Here is a 24,201-nt window from a genome sequence, read left to right as displayed (position 1 = left end):
TGGAGTCTTGCTGTGTTGTTCAGGTAACTGAACTCCTAAGCTCAAGTGATCTGCCTGCCTGGGCCTCCCTAAGTGCTGGGATGACAGGTATGAGCCACTTACACCCGGCCATAAGAATATTTCTTAAAATCTGACTTAAAAATTTTTTTAAAAATTCTTTTAGAGACAGGGTTTCACCATGTAGGCTAGGCTGGTCTTCAATTCCTACCCTCAGGTGATCTGCCCACCTTGGCCTCCCAAAGTGCTTGGATTACAGGTGTGAGCCACTTTGGCCAAAATCCGACACATTTATAAATTTCTACAATAATTTAAAGTACCAAAAATATTCCCAAAACATTTCATCATGATTTATAGTCTCTCAGGAAAATAAATTAGCCCACGTTTCCTTTATTTTTTTTATTTTTTTATTTTTTTGAGACGGAGTTTCGCTCTTGTTGCCCAGGCTGGAGTGCAATGGCGCGATCTCGGCTCACAGCAACCTCTGCCTCCTGGGTTCAAGTGATTCACCTGCCTCAGCCTCCTGAGTAGCTGGGATTACAGGCATGTGCCACCACGCCCGGCTAATTTTTGTATTTTTAGTAGAGACGGGGTTTCTCCATGTTGGTCAGGCTGGTCTCGAACTCCGGACCTCAGGTGATCCACCTGCCTCAGCCTCCCAAAGTGCTAGGATTACAGGCGTGAGCCACCGTGCCGGGCACGTTTCCTTTAAAGAGCTTTTTTTTTGTTTATTTTTTGAGACGGAGTCTCGCTCTATCTCCCAGGCTGGAGTGCAGTGGTGCGATCTCAGCTCACTGCAAGCTCCGCCTCCTGGGTTCATGCCATTCTCCTGCCTCAGCCTACTGAGTAGCTGGGGCTACATGCGCCCGCCACCACACTCGGCTAATTTTTTTGTATTTTTAGTAGAGATGGGGTTTCACCATGTTAGCCAGGATGGTTTTGATCTCCTGACCTCGTGATCTGCCCGCCTCGGCCTCCCAAAGTGCTGTGATTACAGGCGTAAGCCACTGTGCCTGACCGTTTTTTTTTTTTTTTTTTAAGTAGAACTGAATTAATTTTATTTTTCCTTCTTTAAAAAAAATTGGTCCAGGACAGTGGCTCACACCTGTAATCCCAGCACTCTGGGAGGCTGAAGCTGGAAGATCGCTTGAGTCCAGGAGGTCAAGACGAGCCTGGCCAACGTGGCGAAACACCATCTCTACTAAAAATACAAAAATCAGCCAGGTGTGGTGGCACATGCCTATAGTGCCAGCTACTTGGAAGGCTGAGGTGGGAGGCTCCCTTAAGCCTGGGAGGTCAAGACTTCAGTGAGCTATGATGGCACCACTGTGCTCCAACATAGGTGACAAAGTGAGACCCTGTCTTTTTTTTTTTTTTTTTTTGAGATGGAGTCTCGCTCTGTCTCCCAGGCTGGAATGCAGTGGCGCAATCTCGGCTCACTGCAAGCTCCGCCTCCCGGGTTCACGCCATTCTCCTGCCTCAGCCTCCCGAGTAGCTGGGACTACAGGCGCCCGCCATCACGCCCGGCTAATTTTTTTGTATTTTTAGTAGAGACGGGGTTTCACCGTGTTAGCCAGGATGGTCTCGATCTCCTGACCTCGTGATCCGCCCGCCTCGGCCTCCCAAAGTGCTGGGATTACAAGCGTGAGCCACTGCGCCTGGCCCGAGACCCTGTCTTTACAGGCGTGTATCATAACACCCAGAGAATTCTTTTTTGTAGAAACAGGGTTTTGCCATGTTGCCCAGGCTGGTCTCAAAATCCTGGCCTCAACTGATCCACCCGCCTCAGCCTTCTAGAGTGCTTGGATTACAGGCCATGAGCCACACCTCTCCTGGCCTATAAATGATAATTTAAGTGAATCCCTGAAGCTACAGTTTTTTGTTTCGAGATGGAGTCTCATTCCGTCATGCAGTGGTGTCATCTCGGCTCACTGCAATCTCTGCCTTCAGGATTCAAGTGATTCTCCTCCCTCAGCCTCCCAAGTAGCTGGGATTACATGCGCCCGCCACCATGTCTGGCTAATTTTTGCATTTTTAGTAGAGACAGGATTTCGCCCTGTTAGCCAGGCTGGTCTCGAACTCCTGAGCTCAAGTGGTCCTCCAGCCTTAGCCTCCCAAAGTGCTGCGATTACAGGCATGAGCCACCGTGCCCGGCCTCTGAAGCTACAGTTTTAAGATTCTAAAGCAGAGACTTCATGTAGATGTCTATGAAAAGCCAAAAACAAAAAACTCACAGGAAAACCTGATTCCCCCCTGCCAAAATTTCAAGGATTTGCCTAAAGATAAGGTCCATTTGTACCTGAAATAGAGTTTGCTGTGCCCCTTTTTTGCAGGGTCACCCATCCCTATGCACCAACTACACTAGTAACAATCATTACATGAGTACCTCAGGAAGCTTTTTTTTTTTTTTTTTTTTTTTTTTTGAGACAGAGTCTGGCTCTGTCGCCCAGGCTGGAGTGCAGTGGCGCTATCTGGGCTCACTGCAAGCTCTGCCTCCCGGGTTCATGCCATTCTCTTGCCTCAGCCTCCCAAGTAGCGCCCACCACCATGCCTGGCTAATTTTTGTATTTTTTTTAGTAGTGACTAGGTTTCACCATGTTAGCCAGGATAGTCTCAATCTCCTGACCTCGTGATCCGCCCGCCTCGGCCTCCCAAAGTGCTAGGATTACAGGCATGAGCCACCGTACCCGGCCAAAGCTTTTAAACATATCACAAATATTTTACTAAATAAACCTGAATGGCCCTGGTTTAATGAATCTGTTTCTGTCTATAGACTATCTGGTCTTACAAAGTCAAAAGAGAAGTCAGGTGACAAATTATTCAACAGCCCTTCTCTATTTATAGAGAGAGACTGAACTTCTTCCTAGGTTAGAAAGAAAACCTTGAGTTTCATCTCCTAGTTCATATGTTTATAACATCATGGGACGGATTTTGGGAAAACCAAGATTGTATAGTGGGCACACACTTTGATCTTCCCTCTCCCTTCAAAAACATACAAATGAAAATAAAATATAAAAAAGAGAAACTGAGAAGAAATAGTCATGCTTAAATAAGTTACAACAATCTCAATGGAATAGAGACACAAAACTGTGAGCAGGACTAAAACTGCAGGCCTGCTAGGCTCCAGATTCAGAAGGAAGAAGAGGTGGCCGAACACTAACATTAGGGTTTCTGGGGGGTAAGGGAGACTAACATGCTGTGTGTGAGGCAGTGATAAGAGCCGGCTCCCTGTTGGAAGTTAAGGGTTGACTGGGCTCCACTGGGCTTTGGGAGAGAAAACAAAAACAAAACTCCTCTCACTCAAAATAAGCTTGCAAAACTTAAATGTTTGAAAAGGAAAACATGTAATATGAAAAAAAGACAACCAGGGCCGAGTACGGTGGCTCATGCCTGTAATCCCAGCACTTTGGGAGGTCGAGGCAAGAGGATCACTTGCTTGAGCCCAGGATTCTGAGACCAGCCTGGGCAACATGGCAAAAACTTGTCTCTACAAAAAAACAACGACAACAACAATAACAACAAAAAACACCCCAAAATTAGCCAGACAGGGTGGCATGGCATTCGCCCGTACCCGTAGTCCCAGCTGCTTGGGAGGCTGAGGCGGAAGGACTGACTGATCTGGGTAGGTGGAAGCTGTGGTGTGCTGTGATTGCACCGCTGCACTCCCGCCTGGGCAACAGAACAAGGCCCTGCTTCTCAAAAAAAAAAAAAAAAAAAAAAAAAAAAAAAAAAAAAAAAAGAAAAGAAAAGAAAAAGAAAAAAGATAAAAAAGCCAATAAAATCAATGGTCTAATCTGAATTCACTCCAAATGAAATTATACAGCCAGGCACAGTGGCTCACAGCTGTAATCCCAGCACTTTGGGAGGCTGAGGTGGGTGGATAACCTGAGGTCAGGAGTTCGAGACAAGCCTGGCAAACATGATGAAACCCCATCTCTCCGAATAATACACAAAAAAATTAGCTGGGCATGGTGGTGCACGCCTGTAATCCCAGCTACTCGGGAGGCTGAGGCAGGAGAATTGCTTCAACCTGGGAGGTGGAGATTGCAGTGAGCCGAGATCGTGCTATTGCACTCCAGCCTGGGCAATAAGAGCAAAACTCTTTCTCCAAAAAAAAAAAAAAAATTATAGAACAATTTGACGGGCCGGGCATGGTGGCTCACGCCTGTAATCCTAGCACTTTGGGAGGCTGCAGTGGGTGGATCACCTGAGGTCAGGGGTTTGAAATCAGGCTGGCCAACATGGCAAAACCCTATCTCTTCAAAAAACAAAAAAAAATTAGCCGAGTGCAGTGGTGGGCGCCTGTAATCCCAGCTACTTGGGAGGCTGAGGCAGGAGAATCGCTTGAAACTGGGAGGAGGAGGTTGCAGGAGCCGAGATCGCGCCATTGCAGTCCAGCCTGGGTGACAGAGTAAGACTCCGTCTCAAAAAAAAAAAAAAGGCCAGGCGCGGTGGCTCACGCCTGTAATCCCAACGCTTTGGGAGGCCAAAGTGGGTGGACCACAAGGTCAGGAGATCGAGACCATCCTGGCTAACATGGTGAAACCCCGTCTCTACTAAAAATACAAAAAACTAGCCAGGCGTTGCAGCCTGCGCCTGTAGTCCCAGCTACTCGGGAAGCTGAGGCAGGAGACTGGCGTGAACCCGGGGAGACGGAGCTTGCAGTGAGCCGAGATCGTGCCACTGCACTCCAGCCTGGGCGACAGAGCAAGACTCTATCTCGAAAAAAAAAGTAAAGAACAATTTGACAAAAACTTTATTGATATATTCAAAGATGTAATGAAGGTATAAGCTTTATTAAAAAACAAATTATTTTATCAAAAAGACTAGCACAGGGGGAAAGAGGAGGAACAAGAAGGTGGCACACGGGATTGTTAGGGCAGTGTAACTATTATGAATGATACTGTGATGATGAATACGTTACATTAGGGATTTGCCAAGCCCACAGATCACGAGGAGTGAACCTTAATGTAAACTATGGACTTTCGTTAATAATAATAATAATCACTATTGGCTCATTAATTCTAACAAATGTGCCATGCTAACATTAATAGGGGAAATTGTGTGTGGGTGGGGGAGGAATAATATGGGAACTGTACGTTCTGCACGTAAAACTGCTCTAAAAAATTAAGCCTATTGGCTGGGCGTGGTGGCTCACGCCTGGAATCCCAGCACTTTGGGAGGCCGAGGAGGGAGGATCACTTGAGGTCAGGAGTTCAAGACCAGCTTGGCTAACATGGTGAAACCCCATCTCTACTGAAAATAGAAAAAAAGCTGGGCGTGGTAGCAGGTGTCTGTAATCCCAGATGCTCAGGAGGCTGAGGCAGGACAATTGCTTGAACCCAGCAGGCAGAGGTTGCAGTGAACGGAGATGGCCCTACACGCTCCAGCCTGAACAACAGAGCAAGACTCCATTTCCAAAAAAAAAAAAAAAAGCCTATTAAAAAAAAGAGGCAGAAATAAGAATAGGCAGATGTAAGGAAGCAATCACATATCTTATAAAATTAAAATTTATTTTTAAAATATGCCAGTACATATACATATTTGAAGCTTTAGCAGAGACGGGGATTCACCATGTTGGACAGGCTGGTCTCAAACTCAAAGCAAATTACCTTAGCAATAATTTTTTTTTTTTTTTTTTTTTTTGAGACAGAGTCTCACTCTGTCGCCCAGGCTGGAATGCAGTGGCATGATCTCGGGTCACTGCAACCTCCACCTTCTGGGTTCAAGTGATTCTCCTGCCTGATCCTCCTGAGTAGCTGGAACTACAGTTGTGCGCCACCATGCCCAGCTAATTTTTGTATTTTGGTAGAGATGGGGTTTCGCCGTGTCAGCCAGGCTGGTCTCGAACTCCTGGCCTCATGTGATTTACCTGCCTTGGCCTCCCAAGGTGCTGGGATTACAGGCATGAACCACTGCACCTGGCTCCTCCTTTCTCAAAGTATAACTTTTCTTCCTCGTTAGATTGTTTCTGTATAAAACAGGTTTATATATGAATACATACATTAAAGTAATATATACAAGATATATTCTAAAGTTGTTTAAAAATGATTGTCTTTGGGGGTTAGATTTAGAGATCATTTTCATTTGTTGGCTTTGAAGGGCAACTGACCAACTTTTTTATACATAAAGGATATAAACTACAACTATTTTCCCACTCTGTGTAGAATGTGGAACGGAAACAGTGTGTGGCACACTTTAAATGATGCTAAACTTCTACAGTGTGTAAACTGGCTTGTTCAAGAGGCCAAAGTGCTTCTGTTGAGAAACACTGATGACCAATCTCCTCTTTGTGGTCCTGTGATACTGTGAAATATATATTTGATCTTCCTCCCTGTTTCCCAGCATACAATTCCTAAAACCCTCAGAATCTGCAAAATAAGATTTTTTTTTAATGCTAATGATTGACTGATGGCTGGAGGCTCCTAGAGAGCCTCAGGATTGGGGCTGATTCTCAGGGCTTTCAGTGCCACCTCCCAACCTCTGAGAAAAAGAGAGAGAGAGAGAGGCTGAAGGTTAAGCTGACCACCAACAGCCAATGATGTAATCATTAATGACTATGTAATGAAGCTTCCATAAAAACCCAAATTGAGGCTGGGCACAGTGGCTCATGCCTGTAATCCCAGGACTTTGGGAGACTAAGGCGGGTGGATTACTTGAGGCCAGGAGTTCGAGACCAGCCTGACAAAAAATGGTGAAACACCCTCTCTACTAAAATACAAAAAATTAGCCAGGCATGGTGGCACATGCCTGTAATCTCAGCAACTCGGGAGGCTGAGGAAGAAGAATCACTTAAACCTGGGAGGCAGGTTCAATGCTTATCTTGTAACTGACTACGTTACTGAATTTTTTTTTTTTTTTTGAGACCTAGTCTCACTCTGTCACCCAGGCTGGAGTGCAGTGGCATGATCTTAGTTCATTGCAACCTCTGCTCTAGGGTTCAAACAATTCTCCTGCCTCAGCCTCCCAAGTAGCTGGGACTACAGGCACCCACCACCATGCCTGACTAATTTTTTTGTATTTTTAGTAGAGATGGGGTTTCACCATCTTGATCAGGATGGTCTCGAACTCCTGACCTCAAATGATCCGCTCGCCTCAGCCTCCCAAAGTGCTGGGATTACAGGTGTGGGCCACCGTGCCCAGCCTTGAATTATAAATTGTAATAATTATTTTCTTGGGGTTTTGATGTAATAATCATACCACACATAAAAACAATGTCTTCTTTCCTCAATTTTTTGTCTTTGTTTCTTTTGCTTGGCTTAACATATTTGCCAGAACTTCCAGAAATGCTAAATAATAACGTTGATTGTTGGCATCACTGGGGTTTCTGGTTTCTGACTTTAACTGGAAGATCTCTAATGTTTCACAGATAGGTAGTATTATTAGTCTGGTTAATATTATCTTACTATTTCTCATCTTCTTTTTTTGGCGGTGGGGGCGGGGGGACAGTCTCACTCTGTCGCCCAGGTTGGAGGGCAATGGCATGATTTCGCATCACTGCAACCTTCACCTGAGCTCAAGTGATCTGCCCGCCTCGGCCTCTCCAAAGTGCTGGGATTACAGGCATGAGCCACTGTGCCTGGTCTATTTCTCACCTTCTTAAAATGTTTAAGATATGTTATGAAATGTTTTTTTTTTTTTTTTTTTTTGAGACAGTCTCATTCTGTTGCCCAGGTTGGAGTGCAGTGGTGCGATCTTGGCTCACTGCAACCTCCACCTTCCTAGTTCAAGCAATTCTCCCCACCTCAGACTCCTAACTAGCTGGGATTACAGGCACCTGCCACCATGTCCGGCTAATTTTTGTTTTTAGTAGAGACGGAGTTTCACCACGTTAGCCAGGCTGGTCTTGAACTGACCTCAGGTGATCCACCTGCCTCGGCCACCCAAAGTGCTGGGATTACAGGCGTGAGACACCGTGTCTGGCCTTGAAATGCTTGAGATAACCTACTTCTCTTTAAAAAAGCTGTGTAATTATGTGTAAATTATATATATACATGTGTGTATATATATATGTATGTCTGTGTGTATATATATATATGTCTGTGTGTATATATATATATGTACGTATGTGTATATATGTGTGTGTGTATATATATGTATAAATAGATGTCTACTTTTTTTTTTTTGAGATGGAGTCTCACTCTGTTGTCCAGGCTAGAGTGTAGTGGTGTGATCTCAGCTCACTGCAACCTCTGCCTCCCAGGTTCAAACGATTATCCTGCCTCAGCATCCCAAGTAGCTGGGATTACAGGTGCCTGCCACCACGCCCAGCTAATTTTTGTATTTTTAGTAGAGACAGGGTTTCACCATGTTGGTCTGGCTGGTCTCGAACTCCTGACCTCGTGATCCACCCGCCTCGGCTTCCTGGAGTGCAGTGGTGCGATCAAGGCTCACTGCAACCTCTGCTTTCCGGGTTCAAGTGATCATCCTGCCTTAGCCTCCCAAGTAGCTGGGACTACAGGCGTATGCCACCATGTTTGGCTAATTTTGTGTATTTTGTAGAGACAGGGTTTTGCCATGTTGCCTAGGCTGATCTTGAACTCCTGGGCTCAAACAATCTGCCTACCTTGGCTTCCCAAAGTGTTGGGATTATGGGCATGAACCACCACAGCCAGCCTACTTTCATTTTTTAATAAATTCCTCTAGAAAGCAGGTTAGCAATACCTACAGAATCGTTTACAAGTCAAGGAAGAAATTTTTTATTTGTTTGTTTTGTTTATGAGACAAGGTTTTGCTCTGTTGCCCAGGCTGCAGTGCAGTGGTGCCATCAGGGCTGACTGCAGCTTCAACCTGCCAGGCTCAAGTGATCCTCCTGCCTCAGCCTCTCGAGTACCTGGGCTGTGTGCCACCACATCTGGCTAACTTTTTCATTTTGTGTAGGGATGAGGTCTCGCCATGTTGGCCAGGATGGTCTCGAACTTCTGGGCTCAAGTGATCTGCCTGTCTTGGCCTCCCCAACTGCTGGAAGTATAGGAGTGAGCCACCTCATTCTGGTGCAATTTGTCTTATTTAATGGACTCATGTTATTTTTCATTCTTTCAACGTTACTTCACTGTCTCTGTACCTTTCTCATGAAGCTCTGCTCCTAATTACTTTTGGCTAGACTATGTCATAGACATGAAAAGCTCTTCTCAGAGTTTTTCAACAATTCAATCAACAAGCTCACCTCTCAGAGTTGCTAGTCTGGAGAATACAATATAACTACACATTTAGTTATAAAAGCTCTGACTTGTTTTGCAAGACACACACGCTGCACTGCTTTTTACTCTATGTACACAAATGTAAGTTCTAGAAAACATACTGAAATTTTAAGCTTTATTAAAAAGGCAAGGGAAAAAAGCAGAACCTCAGATGTTAAACACTGGACACAGAAGAAAAGGATGTGCCCTCTTACCTGCACTTCAATTTGCAGATCCTTGTCCAGGAGTGCTCTCTTCTTCAGGATCTCGGCTCTGAGCTGCTCTTTGTGCTTGAAGAGCAGAGCTGACAGCTTAGTGGCATTCTGCTTGCTACGTTTCTGCTCCACACTCTCTTCACGCTTCCGTTTTTTTGCTGCCTGTTTTTCTTCTTTATCTATCTTATCCAAAATATACTTCATCACCTGGTTACAGACAATCATTCTAGAGAAAAATACACAACCTATGTAATGCTGGGCGTTTCATTTTGAAAGGCTTAAGACATCATTCTTCTATGCCTCTACAGATGAGACAAAAACTTTCTGTGACTGGAAAACGTCAAGAGTGGTTCAAACCAGTTATGAGTAACTATTAGTGCCAAGTGTTCTCATTTAATGAACTTCAATCAAGATAAACAAGTATAAACTCAGAACTCTGTGCGTGTGCACGATAAAGAGAAGAGACGGACAGACAACAAGACCCTGCGTCTCCCCTACCTTTGATTCTCTTCTCTTTCAGCTGGAGTCATGCTCTTTTTCTGTTTTAAATGTTCTATTACAGCATTATGCTTCATCACCACCTTCAGGACAGAATAAATCCAAAAGCGCATATTTTATAATCACCACAGGTTAGTACACAGATAACAACAGTAGAAATTTGAGCACATATGTGTTTTTTTAAAGAAACTGTAAGAATTTTATATCGTAACATAAATAAAATTAGCAGCTACCAGATGGCCTGGGTGCTTACCACCTGCTGGGTACCGTGCTAGGCTAAGCACTTGACATTACCTCGTTTATTCCTTACAACAACACTGAACCATAGCAATAATTTTATAAACAAGATACTGAGACATAAAGAAATTAACCACCTTGTTTGACAAACAGTAAGTAATACAGCTGAAATTTTAACCTGGCTATCCTTCTCCAAAGGCCGTATTTTTAACATTATGCTTTCTTCCCAGGAATGAATTTTAAAGAACTGTCCCTCGTCTCCCCTATACAAAGATTAGCGGATAGACAGACAGTGTAGTAATTCTCAGTTTATAGATACACAGTAAAGCTGGGTAATAATACATTTAAATATAATATATATGACCGTCATTTTCATAAGAATACTACATCTTTAAAATAACTTCGCTGTGTAAAAAGTGCTTCTACATTTATGACCTCATTTAATCATTGCAATAATCTCATGTGGCTGGAAAGAGAAGGGTTTTAAGAGGCTATAGCTAAGGAGGGATAAGTGAGTTTCACGGACTGTGAATGGGAGACCTAGGAACTGAATGAAGGTCTCACAACTTGGTAACACTTAAAATCCACATTCAAACTCCTGCCTAGTGCTGAGCGAAGCAAGCTATAGGTAGATGAAAAGATGGTTTCTGCCAGTAATGTTATCAGATGTTATATGTGTGACTTCACTTTAGTAGACTAATTCTAACTCATCTAAATTGCTTTATTTCACTAATGTGCCATTGCAAGATGTTGCTGGATGATGCCACTTTTTACTTAAGCTATGAAATAATATGTTTTCAAAAACTTTTTTACAAAGGTGTGGCTAGAAATGCAAATGAGTTTAATCTGTCTATAATTTGCATAGTCTACATGCAAACTAAGGAATGACAACTTTCAATAACTTTAAAGGAATTGCTATAATGTCTGAAGTGGCTTTAAAACTTAGTTAAACCCTCAAGTTTTATATTAAAGATTAAAGCTCATAACTCCATTCTTCCCATCTTAGTCCTCCCAAAATACAGGTCATTCCTAATAAGCACTGACTATATATTATATGTATCTAACGAAGTGTTCCACACCACAGTAGTCATTCAGTATTTTTTTTGGTCAATTCAGTGTTTCTTCTAAATTTAAACATTAATGACTTTGTCTCATTTAGGAAACCTAACACAACCAAACACTAATTCTACTGCACAGCACAATAATTCAAGCTACTGAACATGCTGCTTTTACTTAATAACTTTACCTGTTTCTGAATGATTTCACTTTGATTAGAAGCTTGGAGGGTGTGTTCACGCTTAATTTCTATCTGTTGCTGTTTCTTCTTTTGCTGCTGATCCCTGAGTTGCTGAACCCTTTGCAACTGCTCTTGCACACTGGCTGCCTGCACTGTAACCACATTCTGAATCTGGTGAGTCTGCACAGCACTGCTTTGCTGAATTTGGATAGGTAACTGGAGTTTGATTTGCTGGGGCACACCACTTTGCTGAGCCTGTATCTGAGCCACAACCTGTGACTGGATCTGAGAGAGAACCTGGACTTGTTGTTGCAGCTGAGGCACAGCAATGACTTGGGGCTGTGGCTGCTGTATTTGTAGCTGAGGACGGGATGGGGATGAAACAGTAACTTGATTTAAAGTTTGTCCTGATGAAAGAGTTTGAGTTGAAGACTGTACCTGGGGTTGTGACTGTGGCTGGCCTTGGGAAGGTATCTGAAGAGATGTATGTGGTTGAATTGGAATCGGTTGTGAGGTTGTAGTCTGAACCTGGGATTGTTGTCCAGGAGACAGTTGGGATGGAGTTGATGGACGTATTCGAGTCTGTGATGGACTTTGGACACGAACAGGAGACTGTCCTTGGACATTACTTTGAGGCTGAGACTGTGCTGCAACTTGGGGCTTGGATGACTGTGCGTGGGTGGGTTGTGCTTCAGAAGGGACATGGGATGAAACAGTTGTTTGGGTCTGAACTTCAGGCTGAGTCTGAACTTCAGGCTGAGCTGGGGACTGGGGCTGGGTTTGGGGCTGGGGCTGAGCTGAAGGCTGAGCAGTCTGTGGCTGGGCTTCTGCTGGACCCACACTTGATGACTGAGCTGGTGGCAGGGTTTTGTCTTGATGTACCTGCATCTGGGGTGACAGTTTACTCTGCCTTTGTTCACCTGTACCTGTAAAAAGGAAAGATGAACCATTTCTATTACTCTGGAACATAAAACTGTGGTTAAAGAAGAATCTGAAGGAAATCTTCTGAAGTTGAGAATTCTGGCCAGGCGTGGTGGCTCACACCTGTGCACCTTGGGACGTTGAGGTGGGAGGATCGTTTGAGCAACATAGTGAGACCCCGTCTCTACACAAAAACAAAAAAAATAAAAAATTATCTGAGCATAGTGGAGCATGGCTATGGTCCAAGCTACGTGGGAGGCTGAGGTGGGAGGATTGCTTGCGTCCAGGAGTTCAAGGCTACAGTAAGCAGTAATGGTGCTACTTCGCTTCAGCCTGGGCGACAGAGCAAGACCCTGTCTCGAAAAAATAAATAAAGTAAATAAAGTTGAGAATTTTGTATTTTGGTACAGAAGGTCTATGCCTTTGAAATGCTCCATTTGGACACGCTTAGGGCAGGACGCTCTGAAACTGGGAAGCCTGGGCCCTGCTTCTTGGCTGTCCCCTGTACACTCTCCTAACTCTAGAGGGCTGGTTTCCAAAGTAAGTTGCAGCCTCTGGAAATCAGCTGGGTCATCTGGCCCAGGCTAATTGCCACGCTTCACTTTTCTCCCATGATGTGGTGGTAGTTAGTTACAATGACTTGCAGCAGAAGGTCAACAAAGTGGTTCTGGACCCACTCTCAATCTGAGGTCATGAACTGGATTTACCCACCCTCCCTGAGATCACCTCCATGACTGAATCAGCACCTACAAGGCTTAGCAAGGAGTAAGTGTGGGCATAGTTACCAAGATAACCATTATTTTTGCCCCCTTTCTCTCTCTCTCTTTTTTAATAGGAGGGAGAGGGTGGTGGTAACAGGGAGTCTGTAAGAATAGGGTACAAAAGCTTCGAGACGTTGTGAGGCTGACTATGTCAACTGTTGAGGTCACTGGCTTGAGGCATATCCTTCCAAAGGTAAATACTGGTTCTCCTGTTGGCCTCTGTTAGCCCAGCCACGTGTAGTAGTAACATCCGACATTTCCGATAAACCCACAGCTCTACCTGCTGCTGTCGTGGAAACAGTGGTGGTGGTGGTGCTGGCTGTGGTGGCTGTTGTTGCCAATGGGGTAAAGAGGAATCGCTGAACAGTACCATTTGGCATTGCAGCTTGCATTAGCTGCTGGCCTGGGCCTGGGAGTACAGTCACCCCTTGAGGTATCAACTGCAACTGTCCAGTAGTTTGACCTTGTCCTTGAATTACTACTGTCAAACCTTGATTGCCACCCTGTGGAAAAAACACAACATGTAAACAGTGTTCAAAGCATCAATCTGTATGTATATCATTTTTATTAAATCATTTTTATGTGTAATTATCTTTTAATATAATGAAAATACATATTTGAATGTCACCAGCAGGAATTTAGATAAGCTAAAGTAAGAATATTTATGTTGCTTAGTAGGAAAAACATCAACAATCCAGAGTTCCAGTTCAAGCTCCCCCAATGGTCAGCCAGTTATCTGTCCACAAGCAACACTGTTCCTCCAGATCCAAGTTTCCCAATCTATAAAATAAAGGTATTGAATAACTAAAGTCCCCACAAAATTCTGATTTTAAATAATCTTATATTCATATTTTACAATTTCAAAAGCATCTTCATAGATACTGCCTCATTTGATTCTCACAATGGACTTGTGACTTTATGGGGTAGGCAGAGAAAATATTCTTCTGATTCCCAACTAAGAAACTCAGGTTAGAAAGGTCAAGTACCCTGGCCAACTTAAAGGTGAGATAAAAGAAGGAACCTAGATCTCCTGAATTTTGTCTTTCAATACGTGCCAAATTACCTATGGGGTGTGTGTGTGCTAAACTGTAAAAAGCTTAGGGTTTTAGATATGTAATGCAAACACCAAGTAAGGAGGATCACTAAGGTCTGAGCAGTTACCAAAAAGGGGTCCAGAAATTTAAAATTCTCTAGGCGCTCTCTCTTCTGTCCAGAACTGTAATTCAACTAGAAACCCTGAATACCAGGAACATGCTGGAGAACTGGAAAGCAAAAGTAAAAACCATCCCCTAAACTCCCAATGACCAAAACTGATGGCGCAAAGTCCATGTACTAAGTAAGCTCCATATACATGTGAATCCCTCAAAACTTATTTACTCTTGCTTTTCTAAAATACATTTTTTATGCACAAAATGCACAAAACACCAAGTATAATTTAAAAATTATAAAGTAAACATCTATAAAACCGCCACTGTGGTCACCATTGCCAGTGTCCTAGAAGTCCCCATATGACTCACCCGGATTTCAATTCCCTCCCTCTCCCCTAGAGGTAAGCACTATCCTCACTTTGATGATAACACTGTATTTCATTACTACTTCGGTATGTATCTTAGGTATATATAAGGCCACTGAGGTTCACAAACTCAGGAGCAATATTCACAAAGAATACAATGGGAATAGTGCCCCCTCCAGGCAGGCAATGCAGCAGCCCTGTATCCCTACACAAAATAGCTTAGTTTTGCCTATTTCTGAATCTTATACAAATGAAATTATAACATGTATTTTTTTTGGCAGCTACTTGCTTCTTTAGCTTACCATTATATATTTGTGAGAATCATCTGCATAGTTCTGTGTGGCTGAAGTCTATTCATTTTTATTGCTGTAGGAATATACTACAATTTACTTAGCTAACTGATTTTGATAGACACCTGAGTTGTTCTTAGTTTTTGATTCTTATGAACAATGCTGCTACCAATATTTATGCCATGTATTCTGGTGCTCACATGGCCAACAACTTCTCTAGGGATATACCTAGAAGGTATACTGGGACCTTGGGCATACACAGCTTTGACTTTACCAGACCATGTCCAGGAAGTTTCCAAAATGGCTGAACCGACTGATAGGCCCACCAGCTGTGCATGAGAATTCTTTCTGCTCTATGTCTTTGCTAACTCTTGGTTTTGTTGGACATTTAAATTTGTACCAATCTCTTAAGCATATGGTTTTAATATGTACTTCTCTCATTATTAATAAAGTTCAGCAGTTTTTTGGAATTTGGGACATTTAGATTTCTTCTTTCCTCATAATGTTGGTTTGTCCTTTTTTTTTTGTTTTTCTTTTTTTTGAGACGGAGTCTGTTGCCTAGGTTGGAGTGCAGTGGTATATCTTGGCTCGCTGCAACCTCTGCTTCTTGGGTTCAAGCAATTCTCCTGCCTCAGCCTCCCAAGCAGCTGGGATTACAGGCGTACACCACCACGCCTGACTAATTTTTGTATTTTTAGTAGAAACGGGGTTTCCCCATGTTGGCCAGGCTGGTCTGAAACTCCTGACCTCAAGTGATCCACCTGGCTTGGCCTCCCAAAACCTTGGCCCCCCAAAGTGCTGGGATTACAGGTGTGAGCCACCGCACCTTGCCTGTTTGTCTTTTTTCCTATTGATCTATCTGGATTTTTTTCTTTCTTGATTTGTAGTAATTCTTTATATATTCTGGATATGTAATAGTCCTTGGTTGGTTCTTTTCTCATTTTCTTCACTCTCTCTGTAGTGAGTTTGATGAACAGAGGTTCTTACTCTTATTTTTAAAGTAGTTGAATTTATAAATCTTTTCATTTATGGTTAGCATTTTCTATCTGTTTAGGAAAGCTATGAAGATATTCTTCTATCTTCTAAAGGTATTATAGTTTTACCTTTCACAGTTAGGACTTTCATCCTCCTGGAATTGAGTTTATGTAGAGTGAGGTAATAATGGTCCAATTTCACAGTTTCCCATGTATATTCAATTGTCCTGGCACCATTTACTGAAAAGTCATCTCTTCCTCAATGATCTGCAATGTCACCTTTGTCATATAACAAGTGTCCACATACATGGGGTTCATGTTCTGCACTCTCTACTGTTCTGTTGGTCTATCTGCCTCTCCTTATGTCTGTACCTCACTATATTAATTAGTGAAGTATTATATACTAAGTTTTTTGGTTTTTTTTAGATGAAGTCTTGCTTTGTCACCCAGGCTGGAATGCAGTGGTGCAATCTCAGCTCACTACAACCTCCGCCTCCCAGGTTCAAGCAATTCTCCTTCCTCAGCCTCCTGAGTAGCTGTGATTACAAGCGCATGCCACCACGCCCAGCTAATTTGTTTGTACTTTTAGCAGAGATGGAATTTCACCATGTTGGTCAGGCTGGTCTCAGACTCCTGACCTCAAGCAATCCACCCGCCCTGGCCTCCCAAAGTGCTGGGATTACAGGCGCAAGCCACCATGCCCAGCCTATACTAAGTTTTGATATCAAGTTATCATATATAGGGCAAATAATCCTGTTCTTCAAAGGTACAGATATTCTTAATACTTTGTACCTCCATATAAACTTTCAGTATCAGCTTGTGAAGTTTCACTAAAAACAAAACCTCTTGGGATTTTGATGGGAGCTGCATTCAATTTATTAATCAATATTAGAAGACTTGCTAACAATATCGAGTCTTGCAAGGAAGCAGCTTAATGTACTCAAATTTTATTTGTCTCATGGAGATTAGCCAACTAATAAAATTTTGGTGTTTAAAAGGGTTATCTGTCTCACTGTTTTAGCTCACTGTCTAAAGATTACTCTAGTAGTTGGGGTTTATTATATCCTGTCTAAGAGGTATTTCTGCTTGACTCCAGGAAGCAACCATTTCTTCAAATCAGCACATTTAAAAACGTATCAAAATAAGTTCATGTTTTTAAACTTACCGCAAGAATAAATAAGATCACCTCTAAAGTTAAAATAAAGCTTATGTTACTTACGTGGCCCTGTGTTAACTGAGTAAGTTGAGCCATGGTGAGCTTCACTTGTCCTTGTTGGGGGCGAGGGGGTTGTGAGGCTGAAGACTGTATATTTGAAGTGGACGTTGCTGAAGTTAAGCTTTTCTGCCCAGGTGTTGAGGAAACCGTGTTAGGGGCGGAGACTGCAGTGGAGACAGGCTGCCCCCTGATGATTTGAGTCATCACTTGCTGAGGAGCACCTACCCAAACAGCAAAACATTATGAATGCTTATACACCCTTGGCATTATTTTGAATTGAAATAATTCAACACCTCACATGAACGTATTCTTTTCCATCTTCAAAAAAACACTGGGATATTCAGAGCCTAAGGATACATTCAGACATATACCCACATCCAAAGGTCCTGCCTGGTTGGCAGTGAGTCTGTTTTCACTGCCAACCGTTATCCAGTCTCTGCTGTCTGTAGGATAATGGAAAAAACCAATTAAAATTCTTCCTATAAATCTAAAACCAAAATGATAATAGGGAAGACAAAAAAGAATGTGTAAAATATGCCATTTATAAGGCTGCCTTTTCTTAGGAATATAATATTAAAAATAAGTGCTAATTTAATAAAAAATTAATTCATATGAATTTTAAACAAAATATAAAGAATCTGGAATATTCTGGGCCAACTGCATTTATAATAAGCTTCTCTTACAGCTATTTGACAGATAGCTTGGGAGAGCCATGAAGGCAAGGACCACTATATCCTCAATACTAGGGCAGAGTGCTCAAATAATGCTTTTCTTTTTTTTGAGACGGAGTCTCGCTCTGTCGCCCAGGCTGGAGTGCGGTGGCGTGATCTTGGCTCACTGCAACCTCTGCCTCCTGGGTTCAAGCGATTCTCCTGCCTGAGCCTCCCGAGTAGCTGGGACTACAGGCATGTCCCACCACACCCGACTAATTTTTTGTATTTGTTTTAATAGAGATGGGGTTTCACCATGTTAGTCAGGATGGTCTTGATCTCCTGACCTCGTGATCCACCCGCCTTGGCCTCCCAAAGTGCTGGGATTACAGGCATGAGCAACCTCACCTGGCCCAAATAATGCTTTCATAGTAATTGTTCAATAAATGTCTATTGAATGAATGAAGTTGAACTGGAATGGCTCTACAGTTTTCCATAAACCTCTTTTTAGTTTAACTTGCTGAAACTAGAATAGGCAAGTGGAATTTTCCCCCATGTAGAACAGTTGCTAAGAATAATTTTTTGGTAGCTAATTTGACACTTACAGACTCATTACTAACTACTGAATAACATCAAATTTCTCAAGCTTTTAATATTTACTCGCTGCCTTTTTTCCATCTGTGGATACACATATATATCTTTGTGTTTCTCTTAATGGCTGAATGATACTTCATATTACTGCACATATGTAAAATGAAACTTATTTTGACATTCAGAATACTTCCCCCACACCTTTTTGTTGTTGTTGTTAAACTAACGCCATGGTAAAATTCCTGCTTATCCATTTTTGGGTGCTTCTGATTATTTCTTTAAAGTAACCCTCCAAAAAATATTACTGGGTTCATAGTAGGAATATAGTACTAAGTTGAAGTTTTGAAAGGTTATTCCAATTCACACTACTGCCAGCTCTGTGTGCCTATTTCACTGAACCCTGCCAAACCTTGATATCACCAGTAAAGTAAAATATTCAGGCAACTGCAAATAGTATCATGTATCACAGTGCTAAATTTCCTCAATTACCACAGGTTGGCATTAAAAACTGTTTTAAGTCATTGTTCTTCATTTGTGAATTCACTCTCCACACACTGCCCATTTCTTTTCCTACTTATTTAATACATATTTTTAGAAACTATTTTTTCCACTTTGCCATCTACGTTTTTATTTCTAAACTTGCAATTTTAAAAAATGCGGCCAGACTAGTCTTTTTAAAAATTTTGGCTTTAATTATTGCTTGTAAAGTTCTCTTGTATTCTCTCATCAGATACATCCTCCCAAGAATGTTCTTAGTCCTGGTATATGTTGTAACACGGAAGTCTATTTTCCCCCCAAACTATAAGCCAATTATTCCAGTATCATTTACTGATGCAAAATGACACCACTGTCATGCAGCCAATTCCCACATATAATGCCTCTGTAACTATTTGTGTTGCTTCCTTTGGTATCATGCTAATTTTGGTGGCTTTATAATAGCTTTAACAACTGGTAGTACAAGTTTTCCATTATTACTCTTTCTTCTAAATTTTTCTTGGTTACTCTCATTCATTTACTCAAGATGAACTGAAAGACAGCATAACATAGTGTGGCCAAGGTCTTTAATTTGAGAACTCCTATATCCCAGTGCTATGTCCTTGCATTGCAGTTTGAGAAACAATACATGAAAAGTTATCACTTCCAGAGATCACCTGGTACAGATACATTGCCATCATAAGCAGAGACAGATAAAAGGATTGGTACTGATTCATTTTTATAAGCCACCCAGATGATCTCCAATAGGTATATATCAATTTATTTTTAGATCAAAATGGAAATTCAAAAATGTAATAATTTCTGACTGTACTCCGAGGGTCTGTGAAGTCTCGCTCTATTGCCCAGGCTGAGGGGCGGTCTCAGCTCACTGCAACTTCTGCCTCCTGGGTTCAAGCGATTCTCCTGCCTCAGCCTCCCAAATAGCTGGGATTACAGGCTGCGCCACCATGCCCGGCTATTTTTTGTATTTTAATAGAGATGGGGTTTTGCCATGTTGGCCAGGCTGGTCTTGAACTCCTGACCACAGGTGATCCGCCCGCCTTGGCCTCCCTAAGGGCTGGGATTACAGGCATGAGCCACTGTACCCGGCCGGATCTCATCTTAGGAAAAGCTAGTGTGGCGTAGGAAGAGGGATAAGTTCCAGTGTGATCTGTGCACACCTGAAGACACAACCCATACCCACCCACCCTCCACCTCTCTGACCATAACTCCTTTGACTCCCACTTCTTGTCCTCCTTGGGTCCCCCTGAGATCCACTGGCTACCCATCCCTTCAATGTCACCAGGTCCACTCCTGCCTCAGGGCCCTTGCATTTGCTGTTTCTTTTTCATAAAAGACTCTTTCCTCAGATATCTGCACAGCTCCACAGCTCTCTCATTTCCTTCAGGTCTTTATCCAAATTTCATCTTGTTAGTGAGTCCTTCTCAGGCCATCCTTCCTAAAATTTCAACCCTCCCTGCAAATCATTCCCAAATCCCAACTCTAAACATTATCGTTCCTCCCCTCAGTTTTTCTAAGTACTTTTCTTTCTTTTTTTTTTTTGACAAAGTCCGATTCTCCTGCCTCAGCCTCCCGAGTAGCTGGGATTACAGGCACCAACCATGATGCCCAGCTAATTTTTTGTATTTTTAGTAGAGATGGGGTTTCACCATGTTGGCCAGGCTGGTCTTGAACTCCTGACCTCAGGCGATCCACCCGCCTCAGCCTCCCAAAGTGCTGGTATATTAGGCGTGAGCTATCGCGCCCGGCCAGTACTTTTCATTATTTAACATGATATATGTGTAAAATTCATACATTATTATACAGTATATTTAAATATATGTATAATTAATTTACTTCATTATTATCTACCTTTTCCACTAGACTATAAGTTTCATGAGGGCATTATTTTGTCTGATTAGTTTATAACCATGGCCATTTGGGCCTGGAACAGCATCTGGCACATAGGTAGTACTGAATAATTGTTGAATGAATAAATGAATATCTGGACTTGGAAATCAGATAAATCTGGTTTGAATCCCAGATTAATAGCTTGGGAAATTACTCAACATTCTAAATTTCAATTTTCTCATCGGTAAAATGGGGATAGTATTTTATATGCTTTATATGAAGATTAAATGAATGCTTATGTACAAAACACATACACCCTGGCACAGAGTCAATGATGAATATATGACAGTTGCTATTTTAGAGTATTACTACTAAGAATTAATTCGTTTAAGGCAGACTTTCATTTAAGTACATTAAATGAGCACTGCACAGCCAGGCGGCAGGGTTGGGTAGTTCATCATACAAACCCTATCCTCACAGGGGATTCAAGACTCCAGGGAAGAAAAGTGGCAAAACCCTGGAGAAGAGAGTGGTTTGGAAACTACACATTCACTTATGCATGTCAGACAAACACATACTTACAGCTACATAGGGCATTATGCAACAAAGGCTCTGTGTATCCATAGTAATACCAGCATTTACAGTTTCTCTGGCAATTTACCACAACTGTCAGTTTTCTAAGTATATAGAAAACATTTATCACCTATAAATTGCACTTTCTCCTTTATATTAGTTCTCTTTCCTAGTAGCTACCTGTCTCACATAATAGATATTAAATCTTATCAATTGTTCCTGCAGCATTAACTGAAATAATCCATCTTCCTTTCTTTTCTCAGGTAAATGCTACTTAGGCAAGACGATTGCCTTAAAACAAAACAACAACAACAAAAAACCCTGCTATATTTCATATTAGAATTGGTGCTAAATTAGTAAAATGGGAAAGATTTTATCTATCTTTCCCCTTATGCCCTGGAACCATGTTTTATAGTAAGAAAATTATTTCCTACCCATTTCCAAGAACTATACCTGTAAAACCATGAAGTCTGTAATTCCTTGCTATAGGTAACATTATGGCAACTTTTCAAATTTCTTCTGTTGATATGTCATTGAGACATTCAATTTATAAGCACAATATTTAATTATGTCTTGCTATTCAAATAGATTTACGTCCTAAGTATGTATAGTAAGACTTCTGAAAGTCTTACTACAAGGATACCTATACAAAATTCTTTTTTTCAGTTTTGTGAGTTTCACTCTGTCGCCCAGTCTGGAGTGCAGTGGCGCAATCTTGGCTCACTGAAACCTCTGCCTCTAGGGTTCAAGCAATTCTCCCTGCCTTGACCTCAAGTAGCTGGGATTATAGGCATCTGTCAACATTCCCAGTTAATTTTTGCATTTTTAGTAGAGACAGGGTTTCACCACGTTGGGCAGGCGGGTCTTGAACTCCTGACCTCAGGTGATCTACAGTTCCTTTTGAGTTAAAAAAGCTCACTTTATTTTTATTGTACTTTTTCATTCCTAATTCTGTGAACAAGCATATTCCTCCCTTTTCCCTAGATTAGACTTGCAAAATAATGGTCTAATTTTTTTGGTCTTTTCTGTTTTGTAATTATTATTACTTGTGCTTTCATTTCCTCCCTCATTTTCTTTCCTTTTTTCTTTTTTTGAGACAGGGTTTCACTCTGTCACCCAGGCTGGAGGTGCAGTGGCAAGATTGTGGCTCACTGCAGCCTTGACCTCTTGGGCCCATGTGATCCTCCTGCCTCAGCCTCCCAAGTGGCTGAAACCACAGGCATGTGCCACCACGCCTGGCTAATTTTTTAGAAATTTTTTGTAGAGATGGGGGTCTCACTACATTGCCCAGGATGTCTAGAACTAATAGGTTCAAGTGATCTGACTGCCTTAGTCTCCCAAAGTGCTGGGATTACAGGTGTGAGCCACCGCATCAGGTCTTGTTTTCTTTCGAAACTTGTTTTATATATGTTTCTAACTTTTGATTAAGAATAGAGGTATTTTTGGTTTGTTTTATTCACTGATTTATTTCAACTGCCTAGAGTAGGTGTTCAAATATGTATTGAATAAACTGAATCACCTCAAAGTTTAACTGCAGCTTCAAGGCTTAAGGCTGCTATTTGAGAATTGTTTTGTAATTACATATTTGATGTATCTTTAACTTAAAAGTTACTTAGAATGTACTTACATGCTTTTTTTTTTTTTTTTTTTGAGACAGAGTTTCGCTCATTGCTCAGGCTGGAGTGCGATGGCACCATCTTGGCTCACCATGACCTCTGCCTCCTGGGTTCAAGCAATTCTCCTGCCTCAGCCTCCCAAGTGGCTGGGACTACAGGTGTGCACCACCACACCCAGCTAATTTTTATATTTTTAGTACAGGCGGGGTTTCACCATGTTGGTTAGGATGGTTTTGATCTCTTGACCTTGTGATCCACCCGCCGGCCTCCCAATGTGCTGGGATTACAGGAGTGAGCCACCACACCCAGCTGTACTCACATACTTCTAAGCAAGTTAAGATTATTAGTATAATATCTAATATCTTTTTCTTTTCTTTTTTTTTTTGAGACAGAGTTTCACTCTTGTTGCCCAGGCTGCAGTGCAGTGGTGCAATCTCCGCTCACTGCAACCCCCACCTCCCAAGGTTGCAGTGATTCTCCTGCCTCAGCCTCCCAAGTAGCTGGGATTACAAGTGCTCGCCATCACACCCAGCTGATTTTTGTATTTTTAGTAGAGAAGGGGTTTCACCATGTTGGCCAGGCTAGTCTCGAACTCCTGACCTCAGGTGATCTGCCCATCTTGGCCTCCCAAAGTGCTAGGATTATAGGCGTGAGCCACAGCGCCCGGTCATGTCTTTTATTTCCTAACACATCTTGTTACAGCATAATATAGTATTTTAATATTAATTTCTAGCTTTACTATAAAGAATGTGGCCTATACACATTTTATTTTTTGGAATTTATCAAGGTTTTATCTATGACTCAAGAACTACTTTTCCACCAAAAAGCCTATGAATTATTATTTTTTTTTTCTTTTTTCTGAGATGGAGTTTCACTCTTGTTGCCCACGTTGGAGTGCAATGGCAGGGTCTCAGCTCACGGCAACCTCCACCTCCTGAGTTCGAGCAATTCTCTTGCCTCAGCCTCCCAAGGTGCCCACCACCAGGCCTGGCTAATTTTTATATTTTTAGTAGAGATGGGGTTTCACCATGTTGGCCAGGCTGGTCTCAAACTCCTGACTTCAGGTGATCTGCCCATCTCGGCCTCCTGGAGTGCTGGGATTACAGGCATGAGCCACTGCGCCTGGGTTAAGCCTACAAATATTTTAAATGAATGTGTATTTCAGAAGGCACAAAAGTTGATACATAGTTTAATTGTGGCTTACTATGCTCCTATTAATTTCTCCTTGATTTCAAATAGTTTTGCTTTTTACACTTTAATATGACATGTTACTTAATTCATAAAGATTCAAGATTATACCTTAACTGCAATCTTTTTTTTCTTTTTTTCTTTTTTTTTAAACAGGTCGTGCTCCGTCTCCCAGGCTGGAGTGCAGTAGCATGAGCATACTTCACTGCAGCCTCCAATG

The 24,201-nt window shown here is 42.1% G+C and overlaps 1 protein-coding gene across 51 annotated transcripts in view, besides 1 other annotated feature; it reads right to left on the bottom strand.

Annotated features, from left to right (window-relative positions):
- BPTF (bromodomain PHD finger transcription factor) overlaps positions 1–24,201 on the bottom strand; it is a 158,876-nt gene that overhangs the window by 26,681 nt on the left and 107,994 nt on the right. For 29 of the 51 annotated variants that reach the window (XM_005257150.4, XM_005257154.4, XM_005257153.4 and 26 more), the window contains 5 exons: positions 17,042–17,259; positions 13,326–13,548; positions 11,373–12,289; positions 9,890–9,972; positions 9,392–9,617 (listed from right to left, as the gene is read on the bottom strand). In XM_005257150.4, the coding sequence (XP_005257207.1) occupies positions 9,392–9,617; positions 9,890–9,972; positions 11,373–12,289; positions 13,326–13,548; positions 17,042–17,259 (1,667 nt within the window). Of the gene's footprint in view, positions 1–9,391; positions 9,618–9,889; positions 9,973–11,372; positions 12,290–13,213; positions 13,549–17,041; positions 17,260–24,201 lie in introns of those variants that run through there. The other 22 variants (XM_005257159.3, XM_005257161.4, NM_001439140.1 and 19 more) reach the window with 2 other exon arrangements.
- Positions 3,031–3,325: an enhancer, noted in NCBI's record as "tiled region #4989; K562 Activating DNase matched - State 8:EnhW". NCBI's record gives its function as "activates a minimal TATA promoter and a strong SV40 promoter by Sharpr-MPRA in K562 cells {active_cell/tissue: K562}" and the evidence as "EXISTENCE:reporter gene assay evidence [ECO:0000049][PMID:27701403]".

This window comes from Homo sapiens, chromosome 17 (assembly GCF_000001405.40).
Source record: "Homo sapiens chromosome 17, GRCh38.p14 Primary Assembly".
Taxonomy (NCBI): domain Eukaryota; kingdom Metazoa; phylum Chordata; class Mammalia; order Primates; family Hominidae; genus Homo; species Homo sapiens.
This window is presented reverse-complemented; position numbering and strand designations above follow the sequence as displayed.